The sequence below is a fragment of the Homo sapiens genome, chromosome 8 (assembly GCF_000001405.40).
Source record: "Homo sapiens chromosome 8, GRCh38.p14 Primary Assembly".
NCBI lineage: Eukaryota > Metazoa > Chordata > Mammalia > Primates > Hominidae > Homo > Homo sapiens.
Genome location: NC_000008.11, coordinates 86047000 through 86070655, shown reverse-complemented (window position 1 = coordinate 86070655; position 23656 = coordinate 86047000). Strand labels below are relative to the sequence as shown.

The 23656-nt window shown below is 39.4% G+C and overlaps 1 protein-coding gene across 2 annotated transcripts, besides 1 other annotated feature; it reads left to right on the top strand.

Annotated features, from left to right (window-relative positions):
- The first annotated feature begins 668 nt into the window (after positions 1-668).
- On the top strand, positions 669-23547 carry PSKH2 (protein serine kinase H2). 2 transcript variants are annotated; one of them, XM_017013929.2, is made up of 5 exons: positions 669-745; positions 825-1218; positions 1739-1809; positions 6025-6691; positions 21889-23215. In XM_017013929.2, the coding sequence occupies exons 1-5, from the start codon at positions 669-671 to the stop codon at positions 22192-22194; spliced, it is 1515 nt and encodes a 504-aa protein (XP_016869418.1). In that variant the 3' UTR covers positions 22195-23215. The 2 variants fall into 2 exon arrangements, with proteins under 2 accessions (XP_016869418.1, NP_149117.1); NM_033126.3 differs by lacking the exons at positions 669-745; positions 1739-1809 and having other exon boundaries at positions 988-1218; positions 21889-23547.
- Positions 5994-6495: an enhancer, noted in NCBI's record as "NANOG hESC enhancer chr8:87076390-87076891 (GRCh37/hg19 assembly coordinates)". NCBI's record gives its function as "activates a minimal SCP1, AML or CMV promoter by ChIP-STARR-seq in primed H9 embryonic stem cells {active_cell/tissue: H9 hESC(primed)}" and the evidence as "EXISTENCE:reporter gene assay evidence [ECO:0000049][PMID:30033119]".
- Positions 23548-23656: the final 109 nt, after the last annotated feature.

The window sequence follows — 23656 nt, the reverse complement described above, 5'->3', positions numbered from 1 at the left end:
GAAATCGGGAAGCAGCCTCCAGTTCCGGTTCTACAACTTGGGAGGCATGTGATCTTGACTTGCTTGGTCGTGACTGGATTTCATTTCCCACACATCATTTGTGTGTGTGTGTGTGTGTGTGTGTGTGTGTGTGAATGAATATAATTGACAAATATCAATGAAATCTAATCAATATAGTGATATAATCAATATACATTTATCAAAATGATAAATATTTATAAGTATTATAATACTGTGTGTGTATAATATATATACACACATTCACATACATGTATAATATGTATAAATAATACAAGAATGAAATATATAGAAAATGTAAAGTTACCATACATAATATTTATATTTATTTATATATATTTATATCTATATACAGGTTTTCTCACTATATTTGTATATACGGGTTTTGTATATACACTGTATATGTATATACAGGTTTTCTCACTGTATTTGCTTAGGGTGTTCGTCTGGGTTCTAGACATCTATCGTGGCCCTCAGTTTTTCTCTCTTAGATGGATTACCCGGAAGATGAAGGTCATGAGTGCCAGACACAGGCCTTTGTCATCCGTTTAATGCAATAGAAGGCAGTGAAGTTATACTTTAAATATTATAAGCTCTTAGAATTTTAAATATATATATATATGTATGTTTAATGTTCATGTCATCCGAATATGAGCTCAGCGAAAAGTTCTTTAGAGGGACGATATCCTTTATACAATCGTATAATTTTATATGTTCACTTTGTCAGGTTAGAGATGCAGAAAGTGAAGCCCAGACAATTAGGCGCAGGTTCTGCCTGTTGGTTGACTTTGCTTTCATCACGTCAGATTACACACACAGACGGTGACCAGCGATGATCCAGGCGTCTCGGTCGTTAGCGGGTATCCTGGGGGCTGTCTCCCTGACCACGACCCCCCAGTGGGGTTTCTTTCCGAGGGTCCCGCCCCTCGCAGCTGCTCTTTGATAAAGGGCGGAGGAACGGGGCTGGCTGCTTCCCGAGTCCCCAGGTCCCGCGAGCGGCGGGCGTGTTGCGGGTATGGGGTGCGGCGCCAGCAGGAAGGTGGTCCCGGGGCCACCAGCGCTGGCTTGGGCCAAGCACGAAGGTCAAAACCAAGCCGGCGTCGGAGGCGCGGGGCCTGGGCCCGAGGCGGCGGCCCAGGCGGCGCAGAGGATACAGGTGGCTCGCTTCCGAGCCAAGTTCGACCCCCGGGTCCTTGCCAGGTAAAGCGCCACGTGAGGAACTGGCCTGGGACTGGGCTGACAAAGAAAAACCCCTGGCCAAGACCGCCTCGAGGTTCCCTTCAGCTTGACTCAATTTTGGACAGGGTTCTTTCGGATGATAGGCACTGATCTCCCCCTTTCTCTGCCCTTTTGAGATGTAAATCTTCTACAACCCAAGAGTGTCTTTTTCAGGCACCTGGCAGCCATCCCTTTGAAATGTAGTCATCAAGAGAGTTAGGGCCACTGTCTCCCAGTCTCTGTGGGAGGGCAGGAGCCTAACTTCCATAAGGGCCAGGTAGCAAACACAGATCTCATTGACCACCTCTCCCTAAGCTTCTCCCATTCTTTTCCACTGGCTCACCCCAGCGCTTAAAAACTTTCTTGCCTTTTGTTTCGAAGGCGTCCATTTTCTTTCCCCTGTTGCAGAAGCCTCGACTCCTATTGCAATAGTCTGGGATAAGCCTTCCTTGCTGTGTTCCATAAGTGCCCAGTACAATTTCTCTTTGACATCTCTGAACAGGGAGTTCAGAGGATGGGAAAAAAGAGAGCAGGAGCAGCAGCAAACAAGGGAAGGAATTCCTATCTTCGGAGGTGGGGGGTGGGGGTGTGAGAGGACTGTCTGCCAACCTCCAGCATCTGCGGTGGAAGACGGCTTTGCCTCTAATATCCTGGGGCTGGGTCCTGCCAGACCTGGTGTGTGAAGGATCTTCCACTAATTCTAAAAATTGGGATTACAGCGAGTGAACTAGAGATGCGCCTTTGAGTCAGCCAGACTTGAGGTCCAGTTCCATATCTTCTATCATGTACCATGTAGAACATTCCTTAGCTTTTTTCCTTCCTTCGTTTCTAGCTCTGTAAAATGGGAGTATCTATCTCATAAGACTGTTGTGAGCATAATTAAAGTAATACATGTAAATTATGCTGCACAGTGCATGGTACCAGTCCTCATGCAGACATTAGTGCAATGCTGATTATTGTTTTCATGAAGTACAAATAAGCCCTTCCTATGTAGAAGATTTCAGGTTGGTTGGCCTCCTGAGTGTACCATGTTGGACATGTTGGACATTTTGACCAAGTAAATCACGGAATCCCCTTCTCCTCTGTGTGTTTGGGGAGACACAATAATGGGTGGCTCAGCTGGCTTCCCAAGGCACTGCTGGTCCTAGAATTGCATGCTCACTTCGTCACAGTGCTCTGTCCAGAATCTATGCAGAGCCATTTCCTGGCCTCCTTGAGAACTTTTAGTACAGTGACTCCTGGAGGATTAGTTCGGTGGCTGCTAAGCTTACAGAAGAACAAGGCTGGCTAATATGACTGAACTGAATCTGAGTAGGTACAGGGTCTTGTCAAGACTGAATTGGTTAAATGGCATCTCTGGTCATTTGTAGTCAGAGAGATGATGCTAGTCTGGTCTAGTTTTCATCCACCCTACTAATTCCCAATCCAGGGGTAGACCCAGCCCCATAGAGTGTAAAGGCATCACAGAAGTAGAGGATCTCAACATTATAAGGGCTTCAGAGATTTTAACTCAAGGCTCATCTTTAACCAATGAGTAGTTGTGTCCCCAAAGGTTAAGTGACTTGTCCAAGTTAGTGGTAGAATTGGGACTAGAACACAGTCGTCTTCCTTCTCCGTTGTGATTCCATCTATAACTTTTGCAGAAAAGAGATGATAGAATTTAGATATGAGTATATTTACTTTCTTGTTGGGAGTTTATTATAATTGTTTCTCTCAAGCAGATTGTAACACTATTATTATTTCCTTGTTTCAAATCTTTAATCTATGTTCAAAAATTCCCAGTTTGTATCATAGCAGCTGAGGTTAAAGTAATATTTCCAATTTACGTAGTCTCTGGGATGATACAAAATTGTCCAACCTACTAAACTGACTCTGAGGCTACTCTTTAAGAGAGTGGAGGGGTAAAAGTGAAGGAAATGAAAAGACCTTATAAAGGCATTCTTCCCAGCTTGATGTGATCTTTACTTAATGTTTGCAAAATATATATGATGATTCAGGAATAATATGTATTCAGTGAATGATTCTTTTGTTCAGTGTTTATTGCTACTCCTCTGTGCTAGGCACTTTACAAGGTATAGCCACGCAAATCATAAAGTTGGTCACCATTCATGGCAGTTGAGGACTCACGAGCAAGGCTGTAGCTATAAGAATTTGTTATGGGACAAATTGAATAACAATCTGAGGCATTTATTTCCACCACTCTAAATCTTGGCTTCAAGTGTACTGTTTCCTCCAATGCCAAATTACTAGCATTTTTTCAAATATTGGAAATATGAAGCCCCCTTAACAGTATTGAATAAAGCTTCTTTTATTTGAGCAAAAGCGTGTAGTTCTCAGAAATGGTAGTTTGTTTGATATGATTAATTCTGTGAACAAATGAGTTTGATGGCAGCTTTGAGGGCATAGCGATAAATTAGCATTTACAAAGTGCTTTCATCCACAATAGAGGTAATATAAAACTTGGTTGGTCTGCAAAGCAATAGAATTTGAAATGCCTGTGATTATCTTCAAAATCACACTGAGAATGCATGTGAATAGAAAAGCAGAGTTGGAAAGGGAAAAGGGGAAAGAATCTATTTAAGATTACTAAATTGCTATCTGTTTTGATAAGGTAATTGGCCAGAAAATTAAATGCTCTGTGGAGAACAAAGCTGTTTTCTGTAATCTGGTACAGCCAAATGTCATTTTTATTCAATACACACAGGAATATAAAGAACAAACAAGAAGGCAAAAAAAAAAGTTACAGGAAAAATAAGCTCAATAAAAGAAGTAAGACTATTTAAAGCATAGTTTAGTATTTGCATTTGAATCTTTGGTATTGAATATGTGATATAAAAACGTGCCTTCTCCCTGGGTACTCCCTGAGTACATTCCATTCTCTGTCATCCTTAGCTAGGAGAGGTTTTATTAAAATGAAGTCCAGGCACAGTGGCTCATACCTGTAATCCCAACACTTTGGGAGGCTGAGGTGGGCAGATCACTTCAGGTCAGGAGTTCAAGACCAGCCTGGCAAACATGGTGAAATCCCGTCTCTACTAAAAAAAATACAAAAATTAGCCAGGCATGGTGGTGTGCACCTGTAATCTCAGCTACTCAGGAGGCTGAGGCAGGAGAATCTCTTGAACCCGGGAGGCAGAGGTTGCAGTCAGCCAAGATCATGCCACTGTACTCCAGCCTGGGTGACAGAGCAAAACTCCATCTCAAAAAAAAAAAAAAAAAGGAGACCTGCGTTCTAATCCTGACTCTACAACGTAAACAACCAATTGGCTAATGTGGTCTTCAAATTTCCTCATCAGTAAAACAAGAAGTTGGGTTAAATACCCAACTTTAATATTCTTTCCAGCTATACAATCGTGATTTTAAGTCTAGCATTTTCTCAACATGTCTTAAATATGAGGTAGAGGGTTAAATTTGATAGGATTCTATTTTATTTTATTTTTTTAATTTTTGAGACAGAGGTCTCGCTCTCTCACCCAAGCTGGAGTGCAGTGGTCTGATCACAGCTCACTGCAACCTCAAATTCCTGGGCTCGAGGGATCCTCCTGCTTCAGTCCCCTCAGTAGCCGGGGCTACAGCTGTGCATCATGATTGGCTAATTTTTAAATTTGTTATAGAGAAGGGGTCTCAGTTTTTTGCTCAGGCTGCTCTCAAACTCCTAGGCTCAAACAGTCTTCCCACCTCGGCCTCCCAAAGTGCTGGGATTACACGATGAGCCCACCGTGCCTGGCCAGATTCTTAAATTTTAATAGACGTTTACACAGATAATTAAAGCTTAAGATCCCTAGCATTTGAAATCTGAGCTGATATCCTGGCCTTTTTTTCTTCAACTTTTATTTTAAGTTCAGGGGTACATGTGCAGGATGTGCAGGTTTGTTACGTAGGTAAACATATGTTCTTGGCCTTTTTGTGGGATAATTGGTTTACAAATTATTGACATACATTCCATGTTAAAATTCTCTTTACTGCCGAGAAATTCCAAGTGTGGGTATGGGGATGGAGGGAGACTGTGAGAAGCTACTGGCTGCAAGGTGGCCCTAACACTACTCCCACCAGACTGCTGAAACCGGCTCTTATAATAGCACAGCTGCATTTACTTCTTCCTTATTAACAGCTACTGTGTACAAGATGAGCCTGGGGCTGAGCTCACAGTCAAGCAACCCAAAGAAACATACTGTTTATTCTCTGTCTTCTGATATGGGATCCTCAGCCTTTGAGAAATTATAAACAGGAGTAAGCTTCTACTTTATTCTCCCCCACTTGATTTGTTTGTTGTTGAAGAATGACAAAAACAAGGGCTAGAGGAAGGAAAGAAATTGGTAGAGGGGGGTCTTAACATTCTTGAAACAGTTTTTGTGAAATGCATTTGAAAGGGCTGGATTTGAATCCCATCCATTCCAACCACAATCTGGGTGCCCTTGATAACTCATTTAACTTCTTTTTAAGTCTGAATTTCCTTATTTGAAAAAGGGGGATATTATTATATTACCCAGCAGGGTTTTAGTAGGGATAAGATTTTTAAAAATTGTTGGCATATAATAACTGTATAATAAATGGTAGTTATTGTATTAAGATTGTCTTTCTACCAACAAATTACCTTTATATCGTTTTCCTCCATTTCAAAACAGGATTTGGGGTACCTTTCAAAAAATAATAAACACAAGTAATAATAAACAAATAAATCTGATGGGAGGAATAGAAGGATAGAAAAGATGATATAAAGCATGGACTTAAATAATTTTGAGAATCATCACTTCTGGGGATAACATGTTTGGTTTTTCTTCCCAACAGATATGACATCAAAGCTCTTATTGGGACAGGCAGTTTCAGCAGGGTTGTCAGGGTAGAGCAGAAGACCACCAAGAAACCTTTTGCAATAAAAGTGATGGAAACCAGAGAGAGGGAAGGTAGAGAAGCGTGCGTGTCTGAGCTGAGCGTCCTGCGGCGGGTTAGCCATCGTTACATTGTCCAGCTCATGGAGATCTTTGAGACTGAGGATCAAGTTTACATGGTAATGGAGCTGGCTACCGGAGGGGAGCTCTTTGATCGACTCATTGCTCAGGGATCCTTTACAGAGCGGGATGCCGTCAGGATCCTCCAGATGGTTGCTGATGGGATTAGGTATTTGCATGCGCTGCAGATAACTCATAGGAATCTAAAGCCTGAAAACCTCTTATACTATCATCCAGGTGAAGAGTCGAAAATTTTAATTACAGATTTTGGTTTGGCATACTCCGGGAAAAAAAGTGGTGACTGGACAATGAAGACACTCTGTGGGACCCCAGAGTACATAGCTCCTGAGGTTTTGCTAAGGAAGCCTTATACCAGTGCAGTGGACATGTGGGCTCTTGGTGTGATCACATATGCTTTACTTAGCGGATTCCTGCCTTTTGATGATGAAAGCCAGACAAGGCTTTACAGGAAGATTCTGAAAGGCAAATATAATTATACAGGAGAGGTAAGAGAGCATTATTTTATTTCTATTGTGTTGGTTTAGAGTGGGGCTTCTCCACCTTGTCACTTTTGACATTTAAGACTGGATGATTTTTGGGGTTGTCCTGTGTGCTGTAGGATGCTTAGCAGCATCACTGCCCTCTACTCTAAATACCAGTAATGTACCTCCCCCAGTTGTGGGGCCCCCAAATGTCTCCAGACATTGTTAAATGTCCCCTGTGGGGCAAAATCGCCCCTGACTGAGAGCCATTTGACTCAAGATAGCAAGGGCCTCCATTACTAGCTGCCTGTGGTTAGCACATGACACTGACAATCAAGTAGATAAATGAGTTCCTCTGCAGTTTTTTTCTCCAATCTGTGCAGAGCCTGAGCTGGCTGACTAGACTAATGTGTTCACAGAAACTCAGCATGACGCTTGGGTGTTTAGCGAGAGATTTTTCTGCCTTAAATCTTGATGATCCAAGCCCTTTTTGTGATGAAGTGTTTTCTCAGCGAAATGTTTAACCTCACAGCTTGTGTAAAATATTTATCCACTGATTAAACTTGAAACTCCCAGTGTTCATGAATGTGTTAACTTTTTTGTTGTTTTGGGTAGGGAAGGAAAGTTGCCAATGCTTGTGTGTGGGAAGCCTGACAAAATAGGAAATTCATTTCATGTACAGCAGATGAGCAAATTTATTTGACTTCTAATTTCTCATGAAGAAAAACATTGATATTTGCTTATACCTACTTAAAATGTAACGTGTATATCTACAGCAACATCTTTAAGCAAAATTAAAGTTAAACACCAAATTTAAATATAATGTTTTCTACACTCTGACAGACCTTTAGTGCCTTATGGTACATGTATATGTTTTTACAAACTCATTCAAATTGATAAATGAGAGCTAAAATTTATACAAGGAAGTAGGAAAGGATGGGAAGAATTCACAGACAATGCAATACCACTGATTATTAAAAGTCTGAAAAATGTCCAGCCTCACTAATGACCAAAGAAATGCAAATGAACACAAAAATGTCTTTTTATTGTCTTTCAAATTCATAAAGATAAAACAACAAACAACTAAATTCTACATATGGCTGTGAAGGGTACTGAGAGATTAGCCCTCTCACTAAGTACTAGTAGAGGACAAATTGTCACAGGTTTCTTGGAAAGTAGTTTGAAAATATGAATCTAGAACTGTCTTAGTCCATTTTCACACTACTGTAAAGAAATATTCAAGACTGGGTAATTTATATTTTAAAAAAGGTTTAGCTGTCTCACAGTTCTGCATGGCTGGGGAGGCCTCAGGAAATTTACGATCATGACAGAAGGCCAAGGGGAAGCAAGCTTGGACCTTCTCACACGGTGACAGGAGAAAAAGAGAGGCGGAAAGAGCCCTTTATAAAACCATCAGATCTCGTTAGAACTCGCTCACTATCATGAGAACAACGTGGGGAAACTGCCCATGATCCAATCACCTCCACTTCGTTCCCCTCCTGACACACGGGGACTACAGGGATTACAATTTGAGATGAGATTTGGGTGGGGACACAGAGCCAAACCATATCAAGAACTTTAAAAAATTTATGTATTTTGATCTTATAATTCGATTTGTAAGAATCTAAGTAATCCCAGATGCAGCAAAGGTTTCACTGTAAGAGTACTAATCCAAGCTATGTTTACAAAAGTAAAAAATTAAAGAGTCCTGAGAGAATGTTTGAACACATAACTGAGCATCCATATGATAGAGTATGATAGTCCCCAATTCATGCACATTTAAAAATTGTAATGACATTGGAAAATTTTCACAATATACTGCCAAGTAGAATAAAAGCAGGATATAAACTGTGTATACACTATGATCACATTCGTGTGGGAAAACGTTTGCATGGGAAAAGACTAGGAGGAAATATAATAGCATGTTTACTGGGCTTTTCTCCTGGTATGGTGATTTGGATCATTTTGATTTTCTTTATAGCTTGAATATCTTTGTATTTCTGTTTTTGTTTTGTTTACAAAGAACATATATTTCTGTTTTCGTTATCTACCACTGCATAACAAACCATCCCCAAACCTAGTGGCTTAAAACAATCATCACTTTTTTATGACTCATGAACCTGTGGTTGATAAGGCTCAGCTTGTGAATCTTCTGTGCCACATGATGTTGGATGGGACTGCAGTCATCTGGGGGCTTGACTGGGATGGAATATCCACGAGGGCCCCACTCAAATGTCTGGCATCTTGGTGCGGATGGCTGGAATCTGGGTTCAACTAGATCACTGGGACTCCTAGGCCTTTCTCTCTCATTCTTTCTATGCATCTCTGGCTCTCTTTTCCTCCACGGGTTTCTCCATGTGCTTTCTCCAGCAGGGCAGCCAGATTTCTTACATGACAGCTGAGGGAAGGGGATATTCCAAAAGGGAGGTATGGAAGTTGCCAGTCCTCTTCAAGGCTAAACTTGAAAATAGCACAGCTCCATGTCTGCATCATTCTATTGGCTACTGAGTCCTAGGCCAGCCATGATTCAATGTTGGGGGGAACTACACAGAGTGTGATATGGGGGTGCGGTCCATTTGGGCCATATTTGGACTAGATACTATAATTATTTTTAATGTGAAAGAATAATAAACAATATACAATATTTTCTGTTTAAAAATCCTTTTGTTAGGTTTAATTCAGAGAGTTCCTAAGGTCAGTTTCCCCAAAAGCAACTGAGAAGAGGATTCATGTGCAAGTGATTTATTATGGATAGACTCCTGGGGAGACAGGTAAGGGAGTGAGGGGAGCAGGACAAGGGAGGCAAAGAGGCCAAGGCCACAGAGGGTAGGCCTTATTCAGCAGGGGAGATATTAATATTTCTCAGCATTGTCCAGAGGCTAATGGGCAGGGTTTTCACACCACACCTATCTGTTGGTCACTGAGGTTGGTAATGGTGGTAAATTCTCAGGCCTTCTGAGGTCAAGGCAGAGTGACTCCATGAGCCCCAGGGCAGTCTGCTGAAAAAGAGCAGGGGGCTGGGATTTAGAAGCAAAGCACTTCAAAAGAAGGGTGCGTGCATGCATACAGGAAAGAGGGGCCCAGGGTCTAGATGGAGCATTAACAGCATCTCCATGGTGGGAGGTGCAAGGCACCCTCTGTTTCTTGAGGAAATGTCTGCCTATAGCACCAGAGTACTGACAACATGCACCACAGAGGAGTGTGACTGCTTGTAATAAAGTACTAGATTTATATTATCTTGATTTCCCTCCCCATGTCTGTCAGGCACTCATGTCTAGCATATTAACATTTCTTTTGATATCATCAAGTGTCTTAGTCAGTGCAGGCTGCCATAATAAAATAACACAGGTTTGGTGGCTTAACTACTTCCCTAGAGGCCTCATCTCCAAACATAGCCACACTGGGGGTTAGGGCTCAACAGAGAATTTTGAGAGAATAAAATATTCAGTCCATAATACCAAGGAATCATATATCGGTAGACTCAGAAAAGTATATCATCATGTTTTCATTTGTCATCATATTACCATATATTTAGCGTCTATTGCCAAGTCTAGTAATTGCTAATTGTACCAATTTTATTTAAAACCAGGTGACCACTGTAGAGTAAAGGGAATTTTCCTTCCCCTTCTTCCGAATATAATTTGAATCTATAAGGCAAACTGACAATAGGCAGATCAACAGGAGAAAATGTATATAAATTTATTTCTGTGCACAGGAGCCACACAAAAGATGAGACTTAAAGAAGAGCCAAATGACTGAAGTTTTCATACTGTACAGAAAGGAACAGAGACTTGGAGTTTGGAGACAGGTTCTGGGAGGGGGAGGGGAGAAAAGGCATGGTGAGCAAAGGCTGTCTTGTTATGCAGATGAAATCTCTCAGGTAACAGCTCTCAGAAAGAATAGATGGAATCCAGTGGTGACAGTTTCCCTGTTGGAACTTTAATACTGTCAGATATTTTCTATGAGTTAATCTTTCCTAGTTTAGGATAAGGCTGATAATGGGTCTCAGAGAAATCCTGTTTGCATCCACTGTTTACTTCACTAATGTAGATTTCCTCTACAGATGCAAATCTTTTCCACAAAAGGACAGCTTTCAGAGCCACTGTTATGTCTGCAGCCCCTCTAAAGAGCCATCTCAAAATATGCCAAAGAAGTATATTTTGGTGGATATATTTTGGTTTCCCATATCGTCAAGTCTGGAAGCATAGATGTGGTAGACAGAATAATGGCCCACCAAAGATGTCCATGCCCTAATACCCAGAATCTGTGATTGCTACCTTATGTGATAAAAGAGAATTTGCAGATGTGATTAAGTTAAAACTCTTGAGATTGGGAGATTATTCTGGATAATCTTGGAGGCCCAATACGATCACAAGTTTCTTCATAGTAGGGAGACAAGAGGGTCAAAGCTAGAGAGAAGAGATATGACTATGGAAACAGGTTGAAATGATGTGCTTTTGAAGATGGAGAGAGGGGTCATGAGGCAAGGAATAAGGACAGTCTCTAGGAGCTGGAAAAAGCAAGGAATGCATTTTCCCCTAGAGCCTCTGGAAGGAACACAGCTCTGGTGACACTTTGATGTTAGCCTGTAAGACCCATTTTAGACTTCTGATTTGCAGAACTGTAAAATAATAATTCGCCTTTTTTCAGAAAGGTTTTCTTTTGCCTATAACTGAAATTCCAGATATGACACATTGTATAAATCACTTATTTTCCCCAGAATTCAGGTATAAACATCAAATTAAATAGGTTGGGCATTGTGGTGCACACCTGTAATCCCAAAACTTTGGGAGGCCAAGGCAGGAGGATTGCTTGAGCTCAGAAGTTCTAGACCTGCCTGAGCAACATTGCAAAACATTATGTCTACAAAAAATACAAAAAATTAGCCACACATAGTGATGTGTGCCTGTAGTCCCCGCTATTCTGGAGGCTGAGGTGGGCAGATTGCTTGAGCCTGGAAGGTCTAGGTTGCAGTGAGCTAAGATTGCAGCACTGCACTCCAGCCTGGGTGAAAGAGTGAGACCCTGTCTCAAAAAAATAAATAAAATAAAATAAAATAAATTGGATGAAAACTTCCAGAGATTTATGTGGTATACCTCTTATGGTGAAGGGGAGTGAGGTGTTTAATATAATACTAAATATTATACTAATATCTAACAGAGCCATACTCTAGCTCCACTCGTATATAAGTAAAAGTTAGCCATAATATTAATGTTTAACTTTTTTGGATTTTGTTGTGAAATATATTCTTTTTCATGAAATCTTCAATGATCATTCCACTTCTGTCATTCTTTCCCTTTTCCAAATACTGTTTAGAATTACGATTAATTTCATTTGTTCTAATTTAATCTGGTTGCTATAGGTTGCTGCTTTAAGACATTATAAGCTCCTTAAAGGCAGGGATACTACCATATTTTCTCTCTGCATTCAGTAAGACATCTAAAAGGAATAAGCATGGAGAATGCATTCAATTACAAATAAATTGCTTTTGAAAAATATTAAAAGATTCTGATTTATAACTGCATGAGTAAGTGTATCTCAGATATAACTGTTTTGAACACAGCATAGAATTTCTGACTTATAGTTAGGTAGATGATAATTAACATCCTTAGTTGCTGAGTTTATTAGGTCCATTCTGGAATAGGTAGGTGGTCTGAAAGGCTACATCTACTGTATTCACTGGGTTTTGCAGGGTAGGCATAGGAGTTCCTTTTTCTAGTTTTTTTCTGCAATGCTGGAGGAGCAGCCAGGGTAGACAGGTACAGCAGATGGTGGAGAAGGGATGGAAGAGAGCAAAGATTTCCTCCCCAGTGTGCAAGGAAGGCCTTCACTTATCTACTTGATTGCCAGTGCCATCACAATGGCTTTTGGATGGTGGCAGAGCTCGTGCTTGAGACGCTAAGTAAAGGACTCATTATGGAGACCATTTGAAGGCATCTTTATGTGGTCTTCACCCCTTCCTTCTGGTCAGGCCTTCCTCGTGCCAGAAATTTTGTTCAGCTCAGTGTCTCTGCTCTTAGGAGCCTCGTGGTCTTGGCTGAGAGACAAGTATGATTATATATCTCTTCAAATACAAGTGCTTTAATGTAAGTGGGAACAAAGCCTCAAAGTTCACAGGGGCAATGGAAGAAAATCTATCATTGCTTAGGAAAACTGGGTCAGGGTCCATGAAAAGGGCCACATTTGTGCTATCTTGCAGGAAGGGAAGGAGTTTCTGGAAGGAAGAAGATTCCAAATAGACAGAATATATGCAAAAGCACATAAAGGAATACATTGACTAGTAAAATGTAAAAACTTTAGGCCAGGAATGGTGGCTCATGCCTGTAATCCCAGCACTTTGGGAGGCTGAGGCGAGGTGGGCGGATCATAAGGCCAAGAGATCGAGACCATCCTGGCCAACATGGTGAAACCCCATCTCTACTAAAAATACAAAAATTAGCTGGGTGTGGTGGCGCGTGCCTGTAGTCCCAGTTACTCAGGAAGCTAAGGCAGGAGAATCGCTTGAACCCGGGAGGTGGAGGTTGCAGTGAGCTGAGATCGGGCCACTGCACTCCAGCCACTGCACTCCAGCCTGGTGACAGATTAAGACTCTGTCTCAAAAAAACAAAAACAAAAACAAAAACAAATGAAAACAAACAAACAAAAAAAAACTTTAGAGCTCAGATGCATGCATTTGTGTGTATGTGTGTGTGTGTGTGTGTGTACATGCATGCATATTAAGTATTTTGAAAAACTGTATAATATAATAATTAAGAACACGATCTGGGCCAGGCATGGTGGCTTATATTTATAATCCCAGTGCTTTGGGAGGCTGAAGTGGGAGGATCACCCGAGCCCAAGAGTTCAAGGCCAGCCTGGGCAACATAACAAGACCCCATCTCTACCAAAAACATTTTTTAAAAATTAGGTGGGCATGGTGACATGTGCCTATAGTCCTAGCCACTTGAGAGGCTGAGGCAAGAGGATCATAGCTGCAGCGAGCTATGATCACACCACTGCACTCCAGTCTTCTGGGTAACAGAGTGAGACCTTCTCTCTAAGCAACAACAACAACAACAACAAACAAACCAAAAAAAAAAAAAAACTCCAACTACCTGGAACAAGACTGGCTGGATTCCACTACCAGCTCTGCAATTTACTAACTGTGTAACTTTGGACATTTAAAAGTTTTTTCTGTATCTCAGTTTCTGCATTTGTGAAATGGTAATCATGGTGGTACCTACCTAAAAGGGTTGTTGTGAAGATCAAATAAGCTAATAGATGTAGGTGCTGAGACTATTTTCATATGCTAGTATATACAGAGTTAGTGCTGTATATATGTTCATTATTTTTGTTATTGTTACTATTAACTTGGGAGACTAGGACTGAAAGTTTGAATTTTGCCTAAGTAAGTTATTAGTTTTATGGCTTTTTTTCTGCAGTACAAACTTCATTTATCAAGTGCACCTTTTAAATCTTTTACATGGAATAGTGAAGAAAGGTTAGTGTTAGAATTTTAATATTAATGATAAATTACAAGAATTCTCATCAATGAGTTGTGAATCATATATTCTTGTCTAATTATATTCCACTGTATCACAGTCATCTTTTTTTGGTGAGCAATGCATTGATTTTAAAAAAAGGAGAATTATAACCATATTAGCTAGCTGACGAGGACAGACACTGATATTAAAAACATTTTTTTCTTTTTTGAGAGACAAGGTCTCACTCTGTCACCCAGGAGGCTAGAGTGCAGTGGCGTGATCATAGCTCAGTGCAGCCCCAAACTCCCTGGGCTTTGGCAATCTTCTCACCTCTGCTTTCTGAGTAGCTGGAACTACAGGTATGTGCCACGCACAGCTCATTTAAAAAAAAAAATCTTTTGTAGAGATAGGGTCTTGTTATGTTGCCCAGGCTGGTCTTGAACTCTTGGTCTCAAGTGATCCTTCTACCTTGGCCTCCTGAGTTGCAGGGATTACAGATGTGAACCACAGTGCCTGGCCTAAACACACACACACACACACACACAGACACACACATATATATGTATATATATTTTTAAATCCCACATGGATATTGATAGAAAATGGTCCCTATCTACTTAGGTTCACCTGTGATTCTCATACTGTTAGGAAATACTTTTGCTGATATTCTCTTTTAGAAGTAACATGTCTGTTTGATTATGCTCATTTTCACCAGCCATGATCCCAATTTTGTTATGTCTCCTTTTCTCCACTAACTTCTCTTATTCTCTTGTTCTCCATTCAGGTTATTAAGTAGGAAAAAAGGAAAGAAAAGCAGAACATTCAGTACTTTAATTCTCTTTCCATCATGACTAGAATTCTTGGAATGAATATTGTACCATATTTCAGATAGGTCTGCTAAGCTGTAATTCCTGTAATTTGGTTCCCATTCCTATGGTTTAGTTCCTAAGTACTTATGCTCACCAAAATATGTGGTGCTTAATTATTTTTAATGATATTTTTACTTTAAAAGTTACTTTATAGAAAATAATTTTAGTGGTTTTAAATCTTACAAGAGTAACTTCATTTTCTGCTCTATCACTTTCTTCATCTCTTCTCTGACTTGCCTTAAACTGAATGGATATAAACCTTCATCTCTTAAACTCAATCACAGACAATAAGTGTTTCTAGGAAGGGAAATGATGGTGGTGTGTTTTGTTTTGACTGTGTAGATGTCACCTTGCATTAGTGATTAGGGTATAAACGTAGCTATGCTATCTGCTTCCTTGATTAGGTTGTATCTTGACCTTGATATCATCAGTGGAATTCACAGAGTTGAGAGGAAAGGAACTATTTAAGTTTCCAGAAACTGACTTAATATTAATACTATGTTTATATTGTTTATATTATACTTTAATAGATGTACACTGCAAGAACTAGTTATAAATATAAATACATTATTCTATATGTTTATACTATAAGCACCAGTTATGAATAATAAATGTATATTATGCATAGAAGAATGAGTCATTTGTTGATTTGGGGTTCAAAGGCCAACCCATTTATTTTGGTCACTGTTACGTTGTTTTTTCTTTGGAGAAAATGGAACACTCCTTTTGTTAACTTCTGGTGCTTTGAAAAATAGTAGGTGCTCAAAAAACTTCAACTGTACCCAATTTTACTTAAATTTAGGGTTTTCCTTATGAGTAAAGAAATGGAAGCATTCCTTCTCTCAAAGCAGAACCCCTTCACACACAAAAATAAACTCTTTATGAGCCTAGTGTAAGATTAATTAACTTTCCATTTTAAAATTAAATGGCACCTGTGACTTGTGAATATGTGTTCACTCTTCCCAGAATTTACAAATGCCCCAGCAGACAGAGCATTCTGACATAATTAGTCAATGCTTTGTCTTTCTGCAGTTTCGTTTTTGTCAAGATAAAGCATTTAAAATCTGCTTTGTAGATTGAGAAATAAAGAAATAAAAATATTAAATATCTATAACAAAAATGATATATGGAATCTTCTGCTTCCTGAGATGTGGAAGAATAATTTTTGCCATGCCTACTACTAACAAAGTCATAGAGAGTAATCAGTTTGGGGCATATTTACATAAAATTTATTTGCAAAGCCTGAGCTAAATTCTACCAAGACCACACACTAATGTTCAAAGAAGGAAGGAAAATTCATCAGAAGGTTGTCATGAGTAGAAATTTTTAATAAAACTTATGATTTTTTGTGGAGATAAATGTGACAATGATTATTTCTAGTGCAAGGAATTGAATGATAGCTTATTTATTTATTTTTAAAAATAGATATTTGTAGCTTTAAAAAAATTATTTAATTAAATCCACCAATAATTGTCCTATACTTCAAGAGCTCTATATTTAGCAAATTGTAACATTAATTACAATCTTAAATTCAAAGGTTTGCATCTAGAATTTTAGAGACTGGGTCTATGTTGTGTGTGTAGTGTTTAGCTTTTTAATAATTTTTGTTTCTTTGTATTTTGAGACAGGGTCTTGCTCTGTCACCCAGGCTGGTTACTGTGGTATGATCACAGTTCACTGCAGCCTCAACCTCCTAGGCTTAAGCAACTCTGCCACCTCAGCCTCCAGAGAAGCTGGGACTACCGCTGCGTGTCACCATGCTAAGCTAATTTTTGTATGTAGAGACAGTGTCTCACTATGTTACCCAGGCTGGTCTTGAACTCTTCGGCTCAAGTGATCCTCCTGACTCGGCCTCCCAAAATGCTGGGATTGCAGGCATGAGCCACCACTCCTGGTCCTAATACTTATTTTTATAATGATTTTTTGTGGGCATTTATGCAAAGGAACTGAGAAATATTAAAGCGTTGACTAGTTGTAGGAATATTAGTCATTCTTTAAACCAGTTACCTAGTTAGCTTTTGTATATTTACCAATCTTTTGCACAAGATATTAAATTAGCCCCACTAATTGGTGTTCATAAAAAAGAAGAGAATGAAAATTTTAATCTTGAATATATGATTCTTGTCTCCTTGAAGAGGCACCACCAATCTCCATGGGATTCCTGGGGCTCATGGTGAGGAGGGGAGATAGGGGGTCTATAGTACACAAAGTGATGTGTGACCGCTAGATAAAGAGAAGCCTGAACAGAACATTTAATTTGGAAGCTGATGCAGAAAACTGGAGAGGGAAGTGGGGTCTGACTACCAGACCACGGAAGGCAACTGAAAGGAAGAAGAGGGCAGAATAGGAGGGAGAACAGAGTCAGCAAGTGGCAAGCTGGGGAGATGGGTTAGAGAGTCACCACTGAGGGGAAGTTAGAGAAACCATGCTGGAGAAGAGTCCAGCAAGGTCCTCACCAGGGCAGGCCAGGCTGTGTTGTGCGAGGAGAGCCAGACTCTTTTAAAGGGCCTGGATGTGGGCAAACAACAGAGGAATATTGTTCATCAAAAAACTGGAAAGCCGTAAACTACAATCATTTCTGACTTCTCTGAAGGTGAGAGTCAAGACATCTACAGCATGTAAGATACCATCCCTCCGAATTCCTTTGAATCATTTAAAGCTAATAAGTAGTGCGATTCCTGGTGTAAGTTTCAGTTTTATGCCTTTTTTGGGTCACTGTTGTTTTATACAGTGAAGCCAATCTCTATTGGAAAAGACAGAAAAATAGGCAAAGAACCAGAGGAAGAAAGAAGAAAAGGGGAAAAAGGCCTGAAATATCCACAAATATTACAATTTACTTGCAACTAAATTAATTTAATGATCTTGGGATAAAATAAAGTTCTCCTTTTTTTGTAAAATGGTTCATTACCTCTTAACACATAACTTTTTTTTGAGGGTGCACATTTGTCATGCTATTGTGAATGGAATTGGTTTGAGAATTATTGGATAATTTTCATATTCCAGTTCTCTAAGTGCAGTCAGTTAATCTATCCACAAAAGAACTGAGGAAGGAATTAAGGTGTGAGGATTTAATAGTAACAAGAACAACAGCAACAATATTTACAGTTTGAAAACTCTTTTTCACATGCTTGGTCTAATTTGGTCCTAATGGCAATCTCGTGAAGGAGATATGATGATCCCCATTTTTCTGACAAGGAAACTGAGACCCTGAGGTTGCAGAGCTGTGTGTGGTCAGACTGCCTGTCTAGTCCAGATCCAAGGACTTCATGCTTTTTCCACAGTAAGATGGGTTAGCAGTGGGACTCGGGGTCATGTCTACCTGAGACTGTCGAGAAACGCCAAACAAAGGGGAATTTTGAAGCAAAGAGTGGGGGTGGCCGAATTTGGGAGGAGAAATTCTAAGGAAGTTTATTGGACATCAAGTGGATGGGAAAGCTGGTGAAAAGACTAAATGATGTCATCAGGTGACAGCTGGTCCAGAGTGGGTATTCGATTCAACCTATGGTTTCCTAGTTGTTTTTGGTTATATAGCACTATTAAACATTTGGGGGCATGCACACTCCATTTTTATTCATTAATAGATATGTACGTGTATGTATATTAGTCTATTTTATACTTTACTAAACATAGATGAAAATCAATTTTAGATTAATAAAAGAAAAATAAAATAGTTCATTTTCTTTCTGTAGCTGCCCTTTTCTAATGTGAAATGTGAAATTGACTCCTAGATACTCTCCAGTTGTCCTTTATGGCTCAGGAATTCTGCAATTTATAACTCATGTTTGAATAATAAGCTTTGGCTGAAGAACTTTTTCTCCGGTTACTTTATTTTCTTCAACTGCATTTTAAACGTACAATCATTTGGGGTCATCTTAATAAGCTCTCCATAAACCTTGTTGCACATATTTTATACTCTTTCAGAAAGATTCAGTTGCTTGTCTTAAAATGTTCCAGAGGAGCCATCTAATTTAACCTTCATTTAAATAGTCTTGAGCTCAGATAGATTTGTCTGGATTCAGGGCCAAATAGATGTCTAGCCAGAACCAGAGGGCATGGCATTGTGAGTGTCAGTCACTGATGTGCTTTTTCTAGACTTGCAGAGTTTATATTTTGTTTTTCCTGTGTTTGAGTATTTGTCAGATATGCTTATTTATTTTATAACTTTTATTTCTGGGATAAATATTTCTCATGTCTCATTTACCTAAATACACTGAAGGAAAAAAAAGAAGAGTTCTTTTACTGGTTTCTTATTATTCAAATTCTGGATTAAGGCGGGGGGCAGTGTTTACGCCTGTAATCCCAACAATTTGGGCGGCCGAGGCAGGCGGATCACCTGAGGTTAGGAGTTTGAGACCAGCCTGGCTAACGTGGCGAAACCCGGTTTCTACAAAAATGCAAAAATTAGCTGGGCTTGGTGGCACATGCCTGTAATCCCAGCATGTGAGAGTGAGGCACTCTCCCAGCATGGGAGAGTGAGGCACGAGAATCGCCTGAACCCGGGAGGCGGAGGTTGCAGTGAGCCACGATCATGCCACTGCACTCCAGCCTGGGCAACACAATGAGACACCATTTCAAAAACAAACAAACAAACAAATTCTGAGTTAAGTTGGCATGGGTGGGGGTGGGAGTGGGTCTGCAGTCACAGTTACTTGGGAAACTGAGGCAGGAGGATGGCTTGAGACCAGGAGGAGTTCAAGTCCAGCCTCGGCAATATAACAAGACCCCATCTCTAAAAAAAGCAAAACAAAACAACAAAAAACAAAACATAGAGTTAATAGGGTGCTAAGAGATTGGAGAATGTGATGTCTATGTATGGACTCTGCTTTATCGTTACACAATGGCAGAGACAATACATGGAAGGATTCCCTTATCTTTCCTTGGAAATACCATCTTTTAAAAACACACATCAATTAGAAATTGTGTTTGAGATACAGCAAACGTATGGGCAATTTTCTCAATGTTTCTCTTTTGCAGAGGACAAAGGACACTAAACTGTAGTGTTTTCCGGGTATACGGTATGTGCTGGTAGAGTCAACCTACAGGATGAGGCTGAGGCACAAAATATAGTTTTTAAGAGCTTGTCTGATCAGGCCAAAGTGGGGACAGCTGCTCTGGAAAACGTCCTAACTTCTGTGGGGCGTGTGCTCTTAGGTCTGGGCTGATACAAAGTTGTTTGAGAGGAATTAACACTGGTTTACATAAATAACATTGATTAGTGATTGGCTATATTGTTGAACTGTGGGGTATGAGTGATGGTGTCCAACCTATGGCACTTTATGGCTACTTGGTGTTAGATAGCGTAGAGCCCACATAGCAAGTGGCTTCAAGAGGTAATTATTTAGCACAAGAGGAGAATGAGAAGTGAAGGCTGTTATATTTCAGTGCCTCTCTTGGCCTGATAATTTAAAGGGGCTTGCATTCCTCAGATTAAATTGTTTCTTTTCTTTCTCAGCAGATAATGCAGAAAGCAAATTTGAATATAAAGCAACAGCCTTCTTATTCCCATGCTCAGAAATGCCACTATGAAGTGCTGCTATTGTATTTAAAGTATGTGCAATTGCTGTAAACACTGCCACTATAAATCCCTGAAATAGGAACTACTTAGCTGTGCATATTGTACTGTGTCATAGCTGTTACGTGTTGAATCTATTTGTAGTCAAATCTATTTGAATCTATTTGTTACATGTTGAATCTATTTGTTCTCAGCTGATTGGGAACAGTGAGGGCCCAGTGTGTTTGAGGAAGTGCACTTCACTTCCTTCCTTCCTTCCTTCCCTCCCTCCCTCCTTTCCTTCTTTCTTTCTTCCTCTTTCTCTCTCTCTCTGCCTTTCTTCCTTTCTTTCTTCCTCTTTCTCTCTTCCTTTCTTCCTTTCTTTTTCTTTCTTTTCTCTTTCTTTCTTTCTTTCGTTTCTTTCTTTCTTTCTTTCTTTCTTTCTTTCTTTCTTTCTTTCTTTCTTTCTTTCTTTCTTTCTTTCTTTCTTCTTTCTCACTCTTTCTCTCTCTCTCTCTCTGCCTTCCCCTCCCCTCTTCTCTCTCTCTGCCTCTCCCCTCCCCTCTTCGCTCTCTCTCTCTCTCTCTCTCCTCTTTCTTTCTTTTTAGAGACAGGGTCTCACTCTGTCACCCAGGCTGGAGTGTGGTGCTGCCATCATAGCTCACTGCAGCCTTGAATGCCTGGGCTGAAGGAATCCTCCCACCTCAGCTTCCTGAGTAGTTGGGATTACAGACATGTGCCACTGTGCCTGGCTAATTTTTACATTTTTTGTAGAGATGGGGTTTTGCTGTGTTGTCCAGGCTGGTCTCAAACTCCTGGACTCAAACGATCCTTCTTCCTCAACCTCCCAAAGTGCTGGGATTACAAACGTGAGCTACTGTGCCTGGCTCAGAGTAAGCTTTCAAAGGGAGGGAAAAGTTGATGATTTCTCAATCCATTCCACTTTCCCCTTCTACTCCTTCTCATTCTTGAAGTCACAGGAACTCTGTGAGATGACCACAGTGTTGCAAACACTGACCTGATGTTGACATAGTTCGTAAAAGACAGCTGCTTTGCCTTGTCCAGCTCCCGTAAATGCAGTATGGGAACTCGTATTGATAACAACAGCACAATGGACAGATTTCTGAGAAGGTTTTCTCACTCATTGGACAAAGAGTTTGGAAGAGAATTTCTGTGTTTGTGTTTGTCTTTTTCTTCTGTGAAAGTTTTTTCTTTTCCTCCCTCAAAAGTGGTTTAGTTCCTCTATATATGTAATGACACAGTATTAAAACTGCTTATTTGAAAAAGTTTTTTGGATTCGATTGGCATTGATCTATGTAATTAAGAATAGGATTCTTTGTGTTTGTGTATATTTCCATTTTATTTATTTTATTCTAACTTATTTATTTTTATTCTCAGCCTTGGCCAAGCATTTCCCACTTGGCGAAGGACTTTATAGACAAACTACTGATTTTGGAGGCTGGTCATCGCATGTCAGCTGGCCAGGCCCTGGACCATCCCTGGGTGATCACCATGGCTGCAGGGTCTTCCATGAAGAATCTCCAGAGGGCCATATCCCGAAACCTCATGCAGAGGGCCTCTCCCCACTCTCAGAGTCCTGGATCTGCACAGTCTTCTAAGTCACATTATTCTCACAAATCCAGGCATATGTGGAGCAAGAGAAACTTAAGGATAGTAGAATCGCCACTGTCTGCGCTTTTGTAAGCAGATGACCTCTAAAACTATTTTTGCCTATTTTAGGACCATTTCATCATGATTAGGGCACCCTCAAGCTCCAAAGACACGGGACTCCATGGTATTGTTGGATACTATTGATCTTGACTTTTAACATTTTCTTGTTCTATAATTTTTCCTATACCTGTATTCATTTTCCCAAAATATACTGCTGCAAATGATTAACAGTTTAGTAAATACTAGCTATGTTTAGATAACTGGAAACAATAAATAGATAAGAAAATCTTTAAAGTATGTAATGGATTAAATAAAATACAATACTATAGAAATAAGGGATGTATATGTGAAGGCATGGTGAACCAGAGACATAGCAGGAATAGTTAGATATGGGGAATATATGTATTTATCCTGAAATTACTGATTTTTATTTAAGCCCCAGTATACAGTGTTAACTAGGTAACACTCGAAGTAGTTATAAATGTCTGTTAATTTCATATTTAGTCTGCAAATATTTATGAAAAATTATTAATTATGGGGCCTATAAAGAACTATAAGATATAATTTCAATCTATCAGAAACTTTTAGTCTAATTGGGGCATTATTCACGGGAAAAATAGAGATTTTTAAGAATCATAAAATAGTGATTTTTTTCTAATGTTAGCATTCATCAACCACCAGGGTTTACAAAAAAATATAAACATCTTGCTTCTTATCACTACTGTCAACTCTTTTCAGTATGTACTGGTTTCTTTTAGAATTATTTAATCAAATATCTTGATGACTTTAAACACTCACCATGAAATAATTATAGGTAATGCAATAAAGGGGTAAGTTTCAAAACTTAGTTCTCTAGGCAAGTCACATATGGCCTGATCTCTTATATGGTAAATTTTTGTAAAATGATATAAAGATTGAAATATTATTAATCATATCTGTGAGTCACTCATATGTGTGGGTAAACATAGTAAATAAATGATTAATTAGTTGATATTGCTTATTTTATTCAGAAAAATAATAAAATGTTAGAATGACATTTACTGTAACTTTAAAATCAGTCTCAATTTTTTCATTTTATTTTTCTCTTTTAGGCTATATAGATGGAACAGCTATATATCTGATATATAGATAAGAATATGTAATTAGTGACACAACTATTTTCTTTTTATGTTGTAATGCTGTATCACATGATATATGACAGACCTGGATTAATTCCTTTAATATAGAAAGACACTTACAAATTCATTAGATAAATAATAGAAAAATGGGCAAATATTTTACCAGGTGGTTTATAAACATATAGATGGCTAATGAGTAAATGAAAAAAATGCTTCATTTCATTTGTAATTTACAAAATGAAAATAAAAATGACAAAGAAAATGAAAATTTAAAAGGCAAAGAATTTTTTTTTACCTATTAGATCAAAACAGTTTTAAACTTGGATACTACATATGGTAGAAGGTTGCAGGCAAGCAGATACTCTCATGCCCTGCAG

Bases quoted from the DNA above. Each gene is read 5' to 3' on its own strand.
- PSKH2 (XM_017013929.2), top strand. From the start codon at position 669: ATGAGCTCAGCGAAAAGTTCTTTAGAGGGACGATATCCTTTATACAAT. The intron at 746-824 runs GTTAGAGATGCA...TCATCACGTCAG, and splicing joins TTATATGTTCACTTTGTCAG to ATTACACACACAGACGGTGA. The intron at 1,219-1,738 runs GTAAAGCGCCAC...ATCTCTGAACAG, and splicing joins GACCCCCGGGTCCTTGCCAG to GGAGTTCAGAGGATGGGAAA.